Source organism: Homo sapiens, chromosome 12 (genome assembly GCF_000001405.40).
Source record: "Homo sapiens chromosome 12, GRCh38.p14 Primary Assembly".
Classification (NCBI taxonomy): Eukaryota; Metazoa; Chordata; class Mammalia; order Primates; family Hominidae; genus Homo; species Homo sapiens.
Window position 1 is genome coordinate 110,610,477 of NC_000012.12, and position 14,601 is coordinate 110,625,077.

General features: G+C 46.0%; 1 protein-coding gene across 29 annotated transcripts in view, besides 2 other annotated features; it reads left to right on the top strand.

Moving 5' to 3' along the window:
• Positions 3,653 to 14,601, top strand: part of TCTN1 (tectonic family member 1) — a 35,302-nt gene continuing 24,353 nt past the window's right edge. For 18 of the 29 annotated variants that reach the window (NM_001319681.2, XM_011538733.4, NM_024549.6 and 15 more), the window contains exons 1-2: positions 3,653 to 3,926; positions 9,360 to 9,480. Coding sequence is in view for 24 of the 29 variants with exons in the window: in XM_011538733.4 (XP_011537035.1) it covers positions 3,707 to 3,926; positions 9,360 to 9,480 (341 nt within the window). In the remaining 5 variants the exon portion in view is untranslated. Of the gene's footprint in view, positions 3,988 to 5,800; positions 5,877 to 6,271; positions 6,429 to 9,359; positions 9,481 to 14,601 lie in introns of all 29 variants that reach the window. The other 11 variants (NR_135088.2, XM_006719594.4, NM_001173975.3 and 8 more) reach the window with 5 other exon arrangements.
• Positions 3,930 to 3,979: an enhancer, noted in NCBI's record as "active region_7012". NCBI's record gives its function as "activates an Ori minimal core promoter by ATAC-STARR-seq in GM12878 lymphoblastoid cells {active_cell/tissue: GM12878}" and the evidence as "EXISTENCE:reporter gene assay evidence [ECO:0000049][PMID:35858748]".
• Positions 9,057 to 9,276: an enhancer, noted in NCBI's record as "active region_7013". NCBI's record gives its function as "activates an Ori minimal core promoter by ATAC-STARR-seq in GM12878 lymphoblastoid cells {active_cell/tissue: GM12878}" and the evidence as "EXISTENCE:reporter gene assay evidence [ECO:0000049][PMID:35858748]".

The following is a 14,601-nucleotide window of genomic DNA, read 5'->3' on the forward strand; positions in this document are numbered from 1 at the left end:
ATCATGGCTCACTGCAGCCCTTGACGTCCTGGCCTCAAGCGATCCTCCCACCTCAGCCTCCAGAGTAACTGGGTTCACAGATACGTGCCACCATGCCCAGCTAATTTATTAATTTTAAACAGGTTGGAAGCCATGACTTCAGCAATAACAAGAACAACAACAATAATAACCAATTCACCTCAAACCACACCAAAGAGCAAGACAGAGTGGTTGACACTACCTTGTGAAGTTAGCCTTAGTTTTTTTTCCCTACTTACATACTCCTCCTATCTTTGATTTTTTTTCCTTTCAGGCTTCTCATATATGGCGACTTCTCATATATGGCAGCTTCTCAGCACAGAATTCTAAAAAGCTGAATTGTCTTGATCCTCCCAATGTCAGCATACACTATAAGGAATTGTGAATGCCAATAATCCTGGAGAAACAGATGGATATTTGAAATCACAAACATTTATGCACAAACCAAATGTTGAGGTTTTGGGCACAATATGGAGCTCGATCTTAGCCACTCTTGTGTCCTTCCATCCTAATGAGGGAACCTGCTAAGGCCAGGGACAAAAGGAAGGGAGAAAGGGTGTTCTGGGTTGAAAGATGAAAACAGGCTGGCAGAAATGGGTCACCTGTGAAATGAAAAGTTCCAGTGTTCCTAATGTTTGCAAACTGTATCTGGGTAGGTGCAATCCTCATTCAGAGTCAAATATCATAAAATTACTTTGGGGCCATCTACCACGTGTTTGTTTGAGATTGGACAAAAGAGGCGGTGAAATTGGCAAATCATATCATAGCAGGTCCTGGTTGGAATAATGGGATATCAGACTTGAAGAGGACCTCAGAGGTCCTATAACCATAACAAAAATTATAAAACTGGATGGGAGTGGTGGCTTACGCCTGTAATCCCAGCACTTTGGGAGGCCAAGGTGGGCGGATCACTTGAGGTCAGGAGTTCAAGAACAGCCTGGCCAATATGGTGAAACCCCGTCTCTACTAAAAATACAAAAATTGGCTGGGCTTGGTGGCAGGTGCCTATAATCCCAGCTACTTGGGAGGCTGAGGCAGGAGAATCACTTGAACCTGGAAGGCAAAGGTTGCACTGAGCCGGGATCCTGCTACTGCACTCTAGCCTGGGTGACAGAGTGAGACTCCATCTCAAAAAAAAAAAAAAATTATAAAGCTAAAGGATGAGTTATCAAAATTTAATCCAGCAGTCTAAAATTTCAAAACAGAAAATAGAACAAAATGGTTCACAGGTATTAAGGAATAGGAAAGAAAGTAGAGGGCTGGAAGTAAAGAGGTTTAAAAAGGAAAACAAACAGGCCCTGGTTTTAGAAGTTATGAGATGAAGGTTTGGAAAATATACTTTTTTTTTTTTTTTGAGACGGAGTCTCGCTGTGTCACCAGGCTGGAGTGCAGCGGTGTGATCTCGACTCACTGCAACCTCTGCCTCCCAGGTTCAAGCAGTTATCCCGCCTCAGCCTCCTGAGTAGCTGGGACTACAGGTGCCCACCACCATGCTCAGCTAATTTTTGTATTTTTAGTAAAGACGGGGTTTCACCATGTTGGCCAGGGTGGTCTTGATCTCTTGACCTCGTGATCCACCCGCCTCAGCCTCCCAAAGTGCTGGGATTACAGGCGTGAGCCACCATGCCCGGCCTACTTTTGGTTATTTTTTTTAAAAGGGGAAGCATTTAATCAGTTATTAAAAGCAGTCCAGAATTTCAGTCAGATGCTAAAGCAATCCTTTGCAGAAAAAAAGAAGTATCTGTCTTACACATTTGAGTGATTCAATTATATTTTTATACACTGTCTCTGGAATGCCACAGGAAGGTGCTAAAGATATCACTTTGATGATTTAGTTTTGCTAAATACATTTAATAAACTAGATATATATACTGTTTGACATCCTTTTGAATTGGTATATACATTTCTTGAATAAATACTGTGTTATGTTTAAGGTTTTTTTGTTTTGGAGTGCAGTGGCACTATCATGGCTTACTGCAGCCTCAAGCTCTCCAGACTGAGGCGATCCTTCCACCTCAGCCTCCTGAGTAGCTGGGACTACAGGAATGTGCCACCATACCTGGCTAATTTTTGTATTTTTTGTAGAGATGTGGTTTCACCATGTTGCCCAGGCTGGTCTCAACTCCTGGACTCAAGCGATCCTCCCAAAGGGCTGGGAGTACAGGTGTGAGCCACTGTGCCTGGCCACGTCTAAGTACTTCGACATCTACTTCTGAACTGTATGGAGATTAAGTGTCAAAGGTGCAGCCAACATTCTTGGGCTTGGGTACCTCCTAAATAAGCCCATTCAGAATGGAGAGGGTTTCCTAAATCGTAGGGTCTCCAGGTCGTTTTGTAGCATTACAGTGGATTTGCTTTGTTTTCCCCTTTAAGATGTCTAAATTATTTTACTTAATTTTTGTAAAAGATTTTTGTCTTTAAATAGGTTCTTAGGCCTGGCGTGGTGGCTCATGCCTGTAATCCTAGCTCTTTGGGAGGCTGAGGCGGGAGGATCACTTGAGGCCAGGAGTTTGTGACTAGCCTGATCAACATAGTGAGACCCCCTCTCTACAAAAAATAATAAAAGGTATTAAGTGTTCATTTGTCCCCTTTATCACAATACAGCAGACAGAAGTTATCTGGCAACCTTGTGAGATGCAGCTAAAATAAAAAGGTGAAGCCAGTGTTGACAGAGTCTGGGATAGAGAAAATTCAGAGACAGTGATCTCACAGATCCCTGTGCTCCTTCCAAACACCCACGTTAGTGGCGTTGGGACGGCGCTTCCTAAATTTCCGTCCAACTCATCTGCTTGCGTCCGGACATTTGTTAAAAATATTTATTCCTGGCTGGGAGTGGTGGCTCACGCCTGTAATCCCAACTACTCAGGACTCAGGAGGCTGGAGCAGGTGGATCACTTGAACCAGGAGTTCGATACCAGTCCGGGCGACGGAGGGAGACCTCGTCTTTACAAAAAAAAAAAAAAAAAAAAAAAAATACAAAAATTAGCTGGGTATGGTGGCGCGCGCCTGAGTTCCCAGCTACTCAGGAGGCTGAAGTGGGAGGATTGCTTGAGTCCCAGAGGTCGAGGCTGCAGTGAGCCGAGATCGCGCTACTGCACTCCAGCCTGGGCGACAGAGTGAGACCCTGTCTCAAAAAAAATCCCCCAAAAACTGATTCCTGGGTCCTGCCCTAGACTAACTGACTCAGGATCTCCTGAGGTGGTACCTGGAAATCCGTCTTTTTTTTTTTTTTTTTTTTTTTTGGTTGAGACAGAGTGTCACACTGTCGCCCAGGCTGGAGTGCAGTGGCACGCTCACGGCTCTCTGTAGCCTTCACCTCCCGGGTTCAAGCGATTCTTCTGCCTCAGCCTCCCGAGTAGCTGGAACTACAGAAAATCTGCATTTTTTAAGCAAGCGCCGCGGACCGGTTGGAAACCACAGCCGGGATTTACACGCCCCTCGTTTACGCCAGCTTCACACCCGCTCACTAGTGCTCGCCCCTGTGCCTGCCATCGCTGCCTCACCCAGGCGCCGCCCTCCGGCCTCATCCGGGATCCGCCCCCTGCCTCATCCAGGCTTCGCCCCAGTCAGTCTCCGGCAGCTTCTCGCGGCTTCGCAAGCCCCTTCCCGTGATGCCCCGCGCCTGGCTGTCGCGGTTGCCGGGCAACGCGCTGTCCATGTCGCGGGCCTCGCTGGGACTCCCTGGGAGATGAGGCCGCGAGGTCTCCCGCCGCTCCTGGTGGTGCTCCTGGGCTGCTGGGCCTCCGTGAGCGCCCAGACCGATGCCACCCCGGCGGTGACGACAGAGGGCCTCAACTCCACCGAGGCAGCCCTGGCCACCTTCGGAACTTTCCCGTCGACCAGGCCCCCCGGGACTCCCAGGGCTCCAGGGCCCTCCTCCGGCCCCAGGCCTACCCCAGTCACGGACGGTGGGTACCATGTGCCAGCTCCTGGAGTCCACAGTGATCCAACCTCAAGGGGACAGCCCCGGTGAGGACGTAATAATGATAGCTAACTCTTATTGAGCACTTACTGTGTGCAGACACTGCTGAGTGTTCCATAAACGTCCATTCTCTAAACAATAACCCTGAGAAGTAGCTGTTACTATCACTGTCAGGTAAATGAGAAAACCGGGTCTCAGAGTTTAAGTGGAACGGTATCAAACCTTTGAAAATACTTGAAGTGGTCCCAGACAACAGTGATGCAAAGAGCAATAATGAATTCTTGCAGCCCAAGACGAAATTAAGTCGAGACAATGGTGGAAATTAGTGCCTTGGCTGCACTGAACTTTCACTTAAAGAGAGGCCAAAGGTCTATCTTACTAAATGTGACTATGTTAAGACCCTTCTCTGTTGACCTGAATTCTAAAAACCCAGGATTCCTCCTGTGTTGAATTGGAGGTGGAAAGCTATTGAGGGAGGGGTTATGCTCACTTCTTAGGAGTCATATGTAGGGATAATTAACATTTTTTTCAGAAAATGATTAATTCTAGAATTACACATTTAGTGGAAATATTTTATAATCTAATTTGACGTTTGGCTGGCGCCGTGGCTCACGCCTGTAATCCCAGCACTTTGGGAGGTCAACTCGGGTGGATTGCTTGAGGTAGGAGTTCAAGATCAGTCTGGTCAAAATGGCGAAACCCAGTCTCTACTAAAAATAGAAAAAATAGCCGGGCATGGTGTAATCCTAGCTACTCGGGAGGCTGAGGCAGGAGACTCGCTTGAACCCAGGAGGCAGAGGTTGCAGTAATTACCACTGCACTCCAGACTGGGCGACAGAGCAAGACTGTCTCAAAAAAAAAAATTGACATGGATGACTTCACTGAATGACTGTGACCCGCTAAGATTGAGTGCAAAACTTTGTGAATATGCCTTTTCCTGAGATGAGAGTTCATAGCAGCCGATTCTTAAAGTGGTTCATGATCTCAAAAAAAGTTTTTAAAATTTTCCGATTGTGTGAATTGAGAGTAACCCCAATAGATATGCAGTACTTTTAATCTTTTTTTATTCTTTTTTTGTTTTTGAGACAAGGTCTCGCTCTGTTACCCAGGCTGGAGTGCAGTGGCGTGATTATATCTCACTTAAGTCTCAATCTGCTGGGCTCAAGGGATCCTTCTGCCTCAGCCTCCAGAGTAGCTGGAACCACAGGCGTGCTCCCCCAGCTTGCTTTTTTTATTTTTTTATTTTTAGTAGAGATGAGATCTCGCTATGTTGTTCAGGCTGATCTCAAACTCCTGGGCTCAAGTGATCCTCCCACCTTGGCCTTCCAAAGTGCTGGGATTACAGGTGTAAACAACTGTGCCCAGCCTATCCCTTCTTAAGAAGATCTTTTCTCAAATTGATTAAGGCTCAGTATTAGTAAGTAAAAAAGTCATCAGCTGAGATCTTGAACTCTAGGACTTAACTGCGGTTACTGAACCTTTATTTCTCCAAAAGCTCTCCTTTCTGAATTACGAGTAATCTGAAAGAAAAAGTACAGAGAAATATATTTGCTATTTTAATATATAAACAGAGCTCTGTTTTATATTTAAATTGTTGATTTGATGAATTAGTAGGGAAGTTAAATCAGTGATAAACTGGGACAGAAGAAAGCCAAGTATTCAATGCCTGAAACTCTAAAGTTTTTGGACTGGATTGTCTTTTATTCATGTAAGTACTCCATCTGTTAATGCATTTTCTCTCCAAAATAAAGCTATGCTTGAAACATCATTATTATAGCATGTGTTCAAGGCTGTTTTTCCAGTATAGGGGATGAATTTGTGCTTGTCCTCACACTTTATTTTTTTTTTTTTTGGTCACAGGGTCTCACTCTGTCACTCAGGCTGGAGTATAGTGGCATGATCACAGCTCACTGCAGCCTCGACCTCCTAGGCTCAGGTGATCTTCCCACCTCAGACTCCCGGGTAGCTGGAACTACAGGTGCTGCATGCCACCACGCCCGGCTAATTTTTTGTAGGGACGGGGTTTCACCATGTTGCCCAGGCTGGTCTTGAACTCCTGGCCTCAAGTGATTGCCCACCTAGGCCTCCCATAGTGTTAGGATTACAGGCTTGAGCCACTGCACTCTGCCAGTCACCTGTCTTCACCTTTTTAAAGGACCTCTCTTTAGACTTGTGACAGTAATAACTCATTTGTTAACTGTTCACTGTGTGGCAGGCACTGTGCTAAGCATTTCACCTATGATGTATCTCATTTAATCCTTACAACAACCCCATGATGAGGGTACTGTTATCCCCATTTTTCAGGTGGATAAATTATTTGCCTAATTTTAGGACACGCAACTTGTAGATATCGGAGCAGGAGGCTGACTGTGAGTGGAGAACTGGATGGAAAATTGCAGGTGGCTTCAGGCAGTGTTGGTGGAGAAGAGTGATAACCCTTCATCTTGAATCTGGGCTCTGTTCATTAGTACCCTGCTCTACAAGCCAGGTGTGCAGATGCGATAGGAGGCAAGGGCAGCTGAGTGCTGCTTAGACCTGACAGGGGCTCAACAGCTACTTGGTGGATGATTAAGTACACTCGCATCCTGGGTAGAAACCTTTTTCCTAAGTGGAGTTATTAAACACTATTGCTTCGTCCTTAGTAGTCTTACAGCTGCCTATAAGGGCTTTAAGTTTTGAAAACAAAGCAAGATAGTAATTTTAAACATACAGGGAACCTAAAGCACTTTTAATTTTTTACATTAGCGTGCATAAGTTGTGTCATTTTACTAGGCACATAGAAGAGTTCTCAACTAGAGAGAAGCACTGTAAACTTTAGGGGGAAAGCTTTTGTGTCTTAGACTAAGAAATCATGGCATATTAACAAAACCTTCCCCTTCACCTCACACATTTTTTTTGCAGAGTGCATTATACCTTTTACGGGGTACTATTTTTTTTTTTTTAATTGCCCAGGCTGGAATGCAGTGGCGCAGTCTCAGCTCACTGCAACCTCCACCTCCCAGGTTCAAGCGATTCTCCTGCCTCAGCCTCCCAAGTAGCTGGGATTACAGCCGCGCGCCACCATGCCTGGCTAATTTTTTTGGTATTTTTAGTAGAGATGGGGTTTTACCACGTTGGCCAGGCTGGTCTCAAACTCCTAACCTCAGGGGATCCACTCTTCTCAGCCTTCCAGAGTGCTAGGATACAGGCGTGAGCTATGGGATACATTTTTCTTTTCTCTTTTTCTTTCTTTTTTTTTTTTTGAGATGGAATCTTGCCCTGTCACCCAGGCTGGAGTGCAGTGGCACGATATCGGCTCACTGCAAACTCTGCCTCCTGGGTTCAGGCTATTCTTCTGCCTCAGCCTCCTGAGTAGCTGGGACTACGGGTGTGTGCCACCATGCCCGACTAATTTTTGTATTTTCAGTAGAGACGGGGTTTTACCATGTCGGCCAGGCTGGTCTGGACCTCCTGACCTCGTGATCCACCTGCCTCAGCCTCCCAAAGTGCTGGGATTACAGGCTTGAGCCACTGCATCCGGCCGCTGTGGGGTACATTTTTCTAAAGCTCCTTTTTATCGTGAAATAATTCATACGTACAAATAAGAATGTTGGGTGGACACTAGCAGCATTTGCTTCAGATTCCTTTTTTGTTAATTTTGTTTTTTGGCTTGAGATCTTTTTTTTTTTTTTTTTGAGATGGAGTCTCACTCTGTCATCCAGGCTGGAGTGCAGTGGTGTGATCTCAGTTTACTGCAACCTCTGCCTTCTGGGTTGAAACGATTCTCCTGCCTCAGCCTCCCTGAGTAGCTGGGATTACAGGCGCCCACCACCATACCTGGCTAATTTTTGAATTTTTTTTTTGAGATGGAGTCTCGCTCTGTCGCCCAGGCTGGAATGCAGTGACGCGATCTCGGCTCACTGCAAACCCCGCCTCCTGGGTTCACGCCATTCTCCCGCCTCAGCCTCCCCAGTAGCTGGGACTACAGGTGCCCGCCACCACACCCAGCTAGTTTTTATATTGTTAGTAGAGACGGGGTTTCACCGTGTTAGCCAGGATGGTCTCAATCTCCTGACCTTGTGATCCGCCTGCCTTGGCCTCCCAAAGTGCTGGGATTACAGGCATGAACCACCGCGCCCAGCCTAATTTTTGTATTTTTAATAGAGACAGGGTTTAACCATGTTGGCCAGGGCAGTCTCAAACTCCTGACCTCAAGTGATCTGCCCGCCTCCCAAAGTGCAGGAATTACAGATGTGAGCCACCGTGCCTGGTTTGAAATCTTCTTTTGAAAAAGAAAACGTTACAGATAAGATTGAAGGTTGATCTTACTTCTTCCCTTCCAGCAATAATTGCAACTATAAATTCATTCTCTATTTTTTAAAAGGGTTTTCTTGTCCTTATTTGACAGAATAAGATAGAGAATTAAAAATCCAGATAATCATCTTTGTTGCAAAGCGGCAAAGAAAAATCATCCTTATTAATGATTAAAAGTTGACCAGGAGTGGTGGCTCACACCTGTAATCCCAGCACTTTGGGTGGCTAAGGCTGGCAGATCACTTGAGGTCAGGAGTTTGAGACCAGCCTGGCCAACATGGTGAAACCCCGTCCCTAATAAAAATACAAAAAAAAAAAAAAAGTTGGGCGTGGTAGTGCATGCCTTTAATCCCAGCTACTCAGGAGGCTGAGGCAGGAGAATAGCTTGAACCCAGGAGGTGGAGGTTGCAGTGAGCCAAGATTGCACCATTGCACTCCAGCCTGGGCAACAAGAGCCGAAACTCCTTTAAAAAATAAATAAATAAATAAAATAATTAAAAGTTGTGAGGTGGGGGAGATTCCTACCCCGCCCTCATACCTTATTGTCTAAATCACCAAAGACATTCTGAGCACCTGAGCCGGTATGATTCTTGGCCAAGGGTCTGTGAATATGAGTTCAGCTTTAAAGCAGCAGGTTATACGTGAAGAGGGGGCAAGATTGAAAAGTCTCTTTCCTGAAGGTTTAAGTGGGCCCTTCCTCTGAATCGTAATCTCTAGAGGAGGGGCTTAAGGACTTTGGAGTTTTAAACTGGTGGTTCTTATGGTCAGGCAAATGGTTTAGGGGTGCTTGTTCTTAAACTTGTCTAATTATAAGCATCACCTGGAAAGTTTCTGAAAACTGCAAATGCCTGGGTTTCATATTCAGCTTACGAAATCAGCATCTCTGTAGGCAAAGCACTAACAGAACTTTCCAAGCGAGTCAGATCATTAGCCACTTTGGGGAAACCTCTGATTGTGGGATGCTCAAACTGACTCATTTCCACTTCACAAATTTCCCCCAAAGTGCAATAGGAAAAATAAAATGGATCTTTTTTATGAAATTGACTTATGGTACACTGTGGTGGCAGGGGGCAGTCACCACCTGCTGATGGTGATGTTCTGGATCCTACCCCTCTTTTTTCTGCAGTTGCTGTTCTCTGTGTCTGTGACTTATCCCCAGCACAGTGTGACATCAACTGCTGCTGTGATCCCGACTGCAGCTCCGTGGATTTCAGTGTCTTTTCTGCCTGCTCAGTTCCAGTTGTCACGTAAGTTTACGTATGACACATGCAATTTTGAAAAAATTTGACCAGGATAATACAATTTGGAGAAAGGGAAAACTTTCCCAGGCTTAAAAACCCAAACCTGATTTCCAGTGTTTTACGTCGTTCTGAAGCCATACCGTCCAAACAAATATGTAAAAAAGTAGCTATCCCTGGCAGGGCGCAGTGGCTCACGCCTGTAATCCCAGCACTTTGGGAGGCTGAGGTGGGTGGATCACGAGGTCAGGAGATTGGGACCATTCTGGCTAACACGGTGAAACCCCGTCTCTACTAAAAATCCAAAAAAATTAGCCGGGCATGTTGGCGGGCACCTGTGGTCCCAGCTACTCGGGAGGCTGAGGCAGGAGAATGGCGTGAACCCGGGAGGCAGAGCTTGCAGTGAGTGGAGATTGCGCTACTGCACTCTAGCCTGGGTGACAGAGCGAGACTCAGTCTCAAAAAAAAAAAAAGTAGCTATCCCTTATTTGCATTCAGCCAGGTGACTGTGCAGGCAAAAGAGAAGAGAGAATATACATTAAAATAATGTAATGAAACCTCTGTGTTTGAAGATTGAATTACATTTCAATTTGAGTTGTAGACAGTGGTCACATTTTTTGTATCAGTGAATTAGTATAGCCTAGGGTGAAAAGTGCATTTTAATTTCACAGCTTTTGTTGTGGACATAGTATTTGTAACAAAAAATTAGATAAGAAATCTGTACTTTTCTGATATGTAAATCTACCAGGAATTCTCACAGTTCGCATTGTATAGAACAATGAAAAATGACATTTCCAGCTGATTATAAGGTAAATAAATAATCTGTTCTGAATGATCTCTTATAATTGAGGTTTCAAGGCTTCTTTTTTTTTTTTTTTTTTATGAGATGGAGTCTCGCTCTGTTGCCCAGGCTGGAGTGCAGTGGTGTGATAGTGGCTCACTGCAACCACCGCCTCCTGGCTTCAAGCAATTCTCCTGTCTCAGCCTCCTGAGTAGCTGGGACTACAGGTGCACGCCACGATGCCTGGCGTATTTTTAGTAGAGGTGGGGTTTCACCATATTGGTCAGGCTGCTCTCGAACTCCTGACCTCAGGTGATCCGCCCTCCTTGGCCTCCCAAAGTGCCGGGATTTCAGGTGTAAGCCAACGCGCCCAGCTTCAAGGCTTTTTGAAAAACTAGGAGCACTTAGAAGAGGCTCATTAATTCAGGATGGGACCAACTTAGTATTCAGAGATAGCTAATTTAAATTTAGCCTTATAGCAAGTTTTAGCAATTGATACTTGATAGGTGAACCCTTTTAAGAAGTACAATGGGTTTTTCCTGTGAGAAACTATTTTATTGACCAATGGGATTTTGAGCCTATTTCTAGTATTGTAAAAATGCTCAGAGAACAGGGCAATGTAGTCAGATTAATTTTCTGGCTACCTGGCCTGTAGCATGTTTCAGTATTTGTTGAAAGTCATTCTGTTTTCCTCCCTTTAGTAAATACAGGAGCCTGAAAGTGACATTTTTGCTCCAACTTGGGGCTATTTTTTTTTTTTTTGAGACAGAGTCTTGCTCTGTTGCCCAGGCTGGAGTGCAGTGCCTCCATCTCGGCTCACTGCAACCTCTGCCTGCTGGCTTCAAGCAATTTTCCTGCCTCAGCCTCCCAACGAGCTGGGACTACAGGCGTGTGCCACCATGCCCAGCTAATTTTTTGTATTTTTAGTAGAGACAGGGTTTCACCGTGTTAGCCAGGCTGGTCTTGAACTTCTGACCTCGTGATCCGCCCACCTCGGCCTCCCAAAGTGCTGGGATTACAGGCGTGAGCCACTGCGCCTAACCTGGAAGATCTCTTTTCTCCTTAACCATTAGTACCTAGTAGAGCTCCTGCCACATAGTGGGCCCTCGTTAAGAATGAGTTGAATTGGCTGGGCATGGTGTCTCACGCCTGTAATCCCAGCACTTTGGGAGGCTGAGGCATGTAGATCACTTGAGGTCAGGAGTTTGAGACCAGCCTGGCCAAGATAGTGAAACCCCGTGTCTACTAAAAATACAAAAATCAGCTGGGCGTGGTGGTGGGTGCCTGTAATCCCAGCTACTCAGGGGGCTGAGGTGGGAGAATCGCTTGAACCTGGGAGGCAGAGGTTGCAGGAGCCAAGATCGCACCATTGCACTCTAGCCCGGGCAACAAGAGCGAAACTCCATAAAAAAAAATAATAATAATAATAATGAGTTGAATGGATGAATGAATTTCTCCCTTCCACCTCTAACTGATTTCCTAGTGTCCCTTGTTGACTTCCTCTACCATTAGTCTTTTAGGCCGACACCAGGCCAAAAACCTGGAGGCTCCCCTGACCCTTGCCTCTTCCTTTCCTTTTCCTGTCTCAGCAGTCTTTCCTTTCTCCCAACCTTTCTTGAGTACCTCCTGAATGCCAGCACCAGGGACATAAAGATGAGTTAGGCACTCTCCTGCCTTCAAAGAGCTTACCGTCGAGTAAGGGAGACAGAGGAGTGGATGGCAGTTTCTACATCAAGCACGATGAGAAGGCAGAGGAATGGCATCTAACTCAGCCCCACTAAGGAATGCTCCCCAGAAAACAGGAGCTGAGCTGGGTCCTGAAGGACACGTGGAAGATGGTCAGCATGGACTGAGGGGAAGGGCATTCCAGGCAGAGGGAACTGCGTGGACAGAGATGGGGGGATGTGGGATGGCCTGCTTAACTGCAGGTAACTCAGTGTGGCCAGAAGAGGGGTGGGGTGAGAGGAGTGTAGGAAAGAGATCAGGGGTCAGGTCCCCAGGGGCCTTGTGTATATGCTAAGGGGTTTGGACTCTGTCCTGAAGTCCACAGGGCCTGGGTTGTAAGAGGATCAGATTCCCATCTTATGTAATTCTGCAGCATCATATGCAGTGGATCACAAGGCCAAGCCTGGTGGCAGAGAACCAAGTAAAAAGCTATTGCAGATGCGGATTAACGGTTTCCCTCCCCATCCTCCCCAAAAGCTGTGACAGTGGGGCTAGGGAGAAGTATCTAGATCTGATGATGATACTGAAATACTGCACAGGATTGGGGAGGTGGCTGACTGGAGGGGAGTAAGGAATCCCATTCTGTGGAGCCTTCCATCACTCTAGCCCTCGTGGTCGTCCATCCCTGCTCCTGCTTTATGAGCTCACACCTCATCCTGTCAAGCACTCACTAAAAGACCTTCAGAAGTTCTCATTATCTATAGGCTTCTTAGCCTGGATTCAGATTCATTCCCACCTTCTTTCAGAGCCTATCACCTGCTACCAGCCATCTCAAATCCACTCCAGCCCAACCTTGGTACTCAGAGTTTCCCAAAGACCATGAGTCGTTACCCAGCCTTGGCCATTGCCGTTCTTGCACTTGGATTTGCTTCCCATTCCTACTGTCTGTCTGATTTCTACTTATCCTTTAAGGCCCAGTAAAAACGGAATGATAATATCCAGTCTTGGCAAGGGTACAGGGAAATAGGCACTCTTACTACAGTGTTGGTGAGAATGTATATTGTGCCCTTCTAGAGGGCAATCTGGGAGTGTGTCTCAGAAGCTTTAAATAATGTTACCTGCCTTTTGGTTTAGCAGTTCCAGTTCAGGAAACATATCCTAAGGAAACAACTGGAGACAGTCATAAAGATGTATGTATAAGGTTGTCATTATAGCATTACATATAATTGGGGAAAATTAGAAACCTAAACCTAAACCAACGATCATAGCTCGCTGTAACCTTGCTCCTGGGCTCAAGCAGTCCTCCTACCTCAGCCTCCCAAGTAGTTAGAACTATAAGCATCTGCCAGCATGCCGGGCTAATTTTTTCTTTGTTTTCTGTAGAGATCGGGGTCTGTGTTGCCCAGGCTGGTCTTGAACTCCTGGCCTCAAGTGATCCTCCCCAGCCTCCCAAAATGCTGGGATTACAGGCATGAGCCACGGTGCTTGGGCTGTACCATATCCATATCTATATTGGTTAAACAAATTGGGGTATTAATAGGCTGGTATACGATGATGAAGCCACTTATAATATTGTAAGTGCATATTAGGCATTATATATTAAGTGAGAAAAGCCTTAAAACAGTATGTAGAATATGGTCCCATTTTTATTATGACTATCTCTATACTATTATCTGTCTGTCCAGCTATCTGTCTATTTTTTTTTTTTTTTAGAGACAAAATCTCACTTTGTGGCCCAGGCTGGTCTTGAAATCCTGGCTTCAAGTGATCCTCCTGCCATGGCCTCCCAAAGTACTGGCATTGTAGGCGTGAGCCACTGTGCCCAGCCTCTATGTTTTTTTGAGATAGGTCTTGCTCTGTCACCCAGGCTGGAGTGCAGTGACACGATCATAGCTCACTGTAACCTTGCTCCTGGGCTCAAGCAGTCCTCCTACCTCAGCCTCCCAAGTAGTTAGTACTACAGGCATCTGCCAGCATGCCGGACTAATTTTTTCTTTGTTTTTTGTAGAGATAGGGGTCTGTGTTGCCCAGGCTGGTCTTGAACTCCTGGCCTCAAGTGATCCTCCTCAGCCTCCCAAAATGCTGGGATTACAGGCATGAGCCATGGTGCTTGGCCTGTATCTGTATCTATAGCAAATTGATTGGGATTTGTCAAATCTGGGATTGGTTGAAGACTTAACTCATAACTTCTTTTTTTTTTTTTTTTGGGAGAGAGAGTCTCACTCTGTCGCCCAGGCTGGAGTGCAGTGGCACGATCTTGGCTCACTGCAACCTCCCAGGTTCAAGCAATACTCCTGCCTCAGTCTCCCCAGCAGCTGGAACTACAGGCACATGCCACCACGCCTGGCTAATTTATTTTTGTATTTTTAGTAGAGACAGGGTTTCGCCATGTTGGCCAGGCTGGTCTTGAATGCCTGACCTGAGGTGATCCGCTCACCTCGGCCTCCCAAAGTGCTGGGATTACAGGCATGATCCACTGTGCCTGGTCCTGTACCATAACTTGTAAGCACTAAACCTTCCAGACGACTGATCTCAGGTGATCCACCCGCCTCGGCCTCCCAAAGTGCTGGGATTAGAGGCATGAGCCACTGTGCCTGGCCCTGTACCATAACTTCTAAGCATTAAACCTTCCAGATGACTCCACATTTTCTTACTCTCACAGTCCTTTGAAGACAGCTTTATTC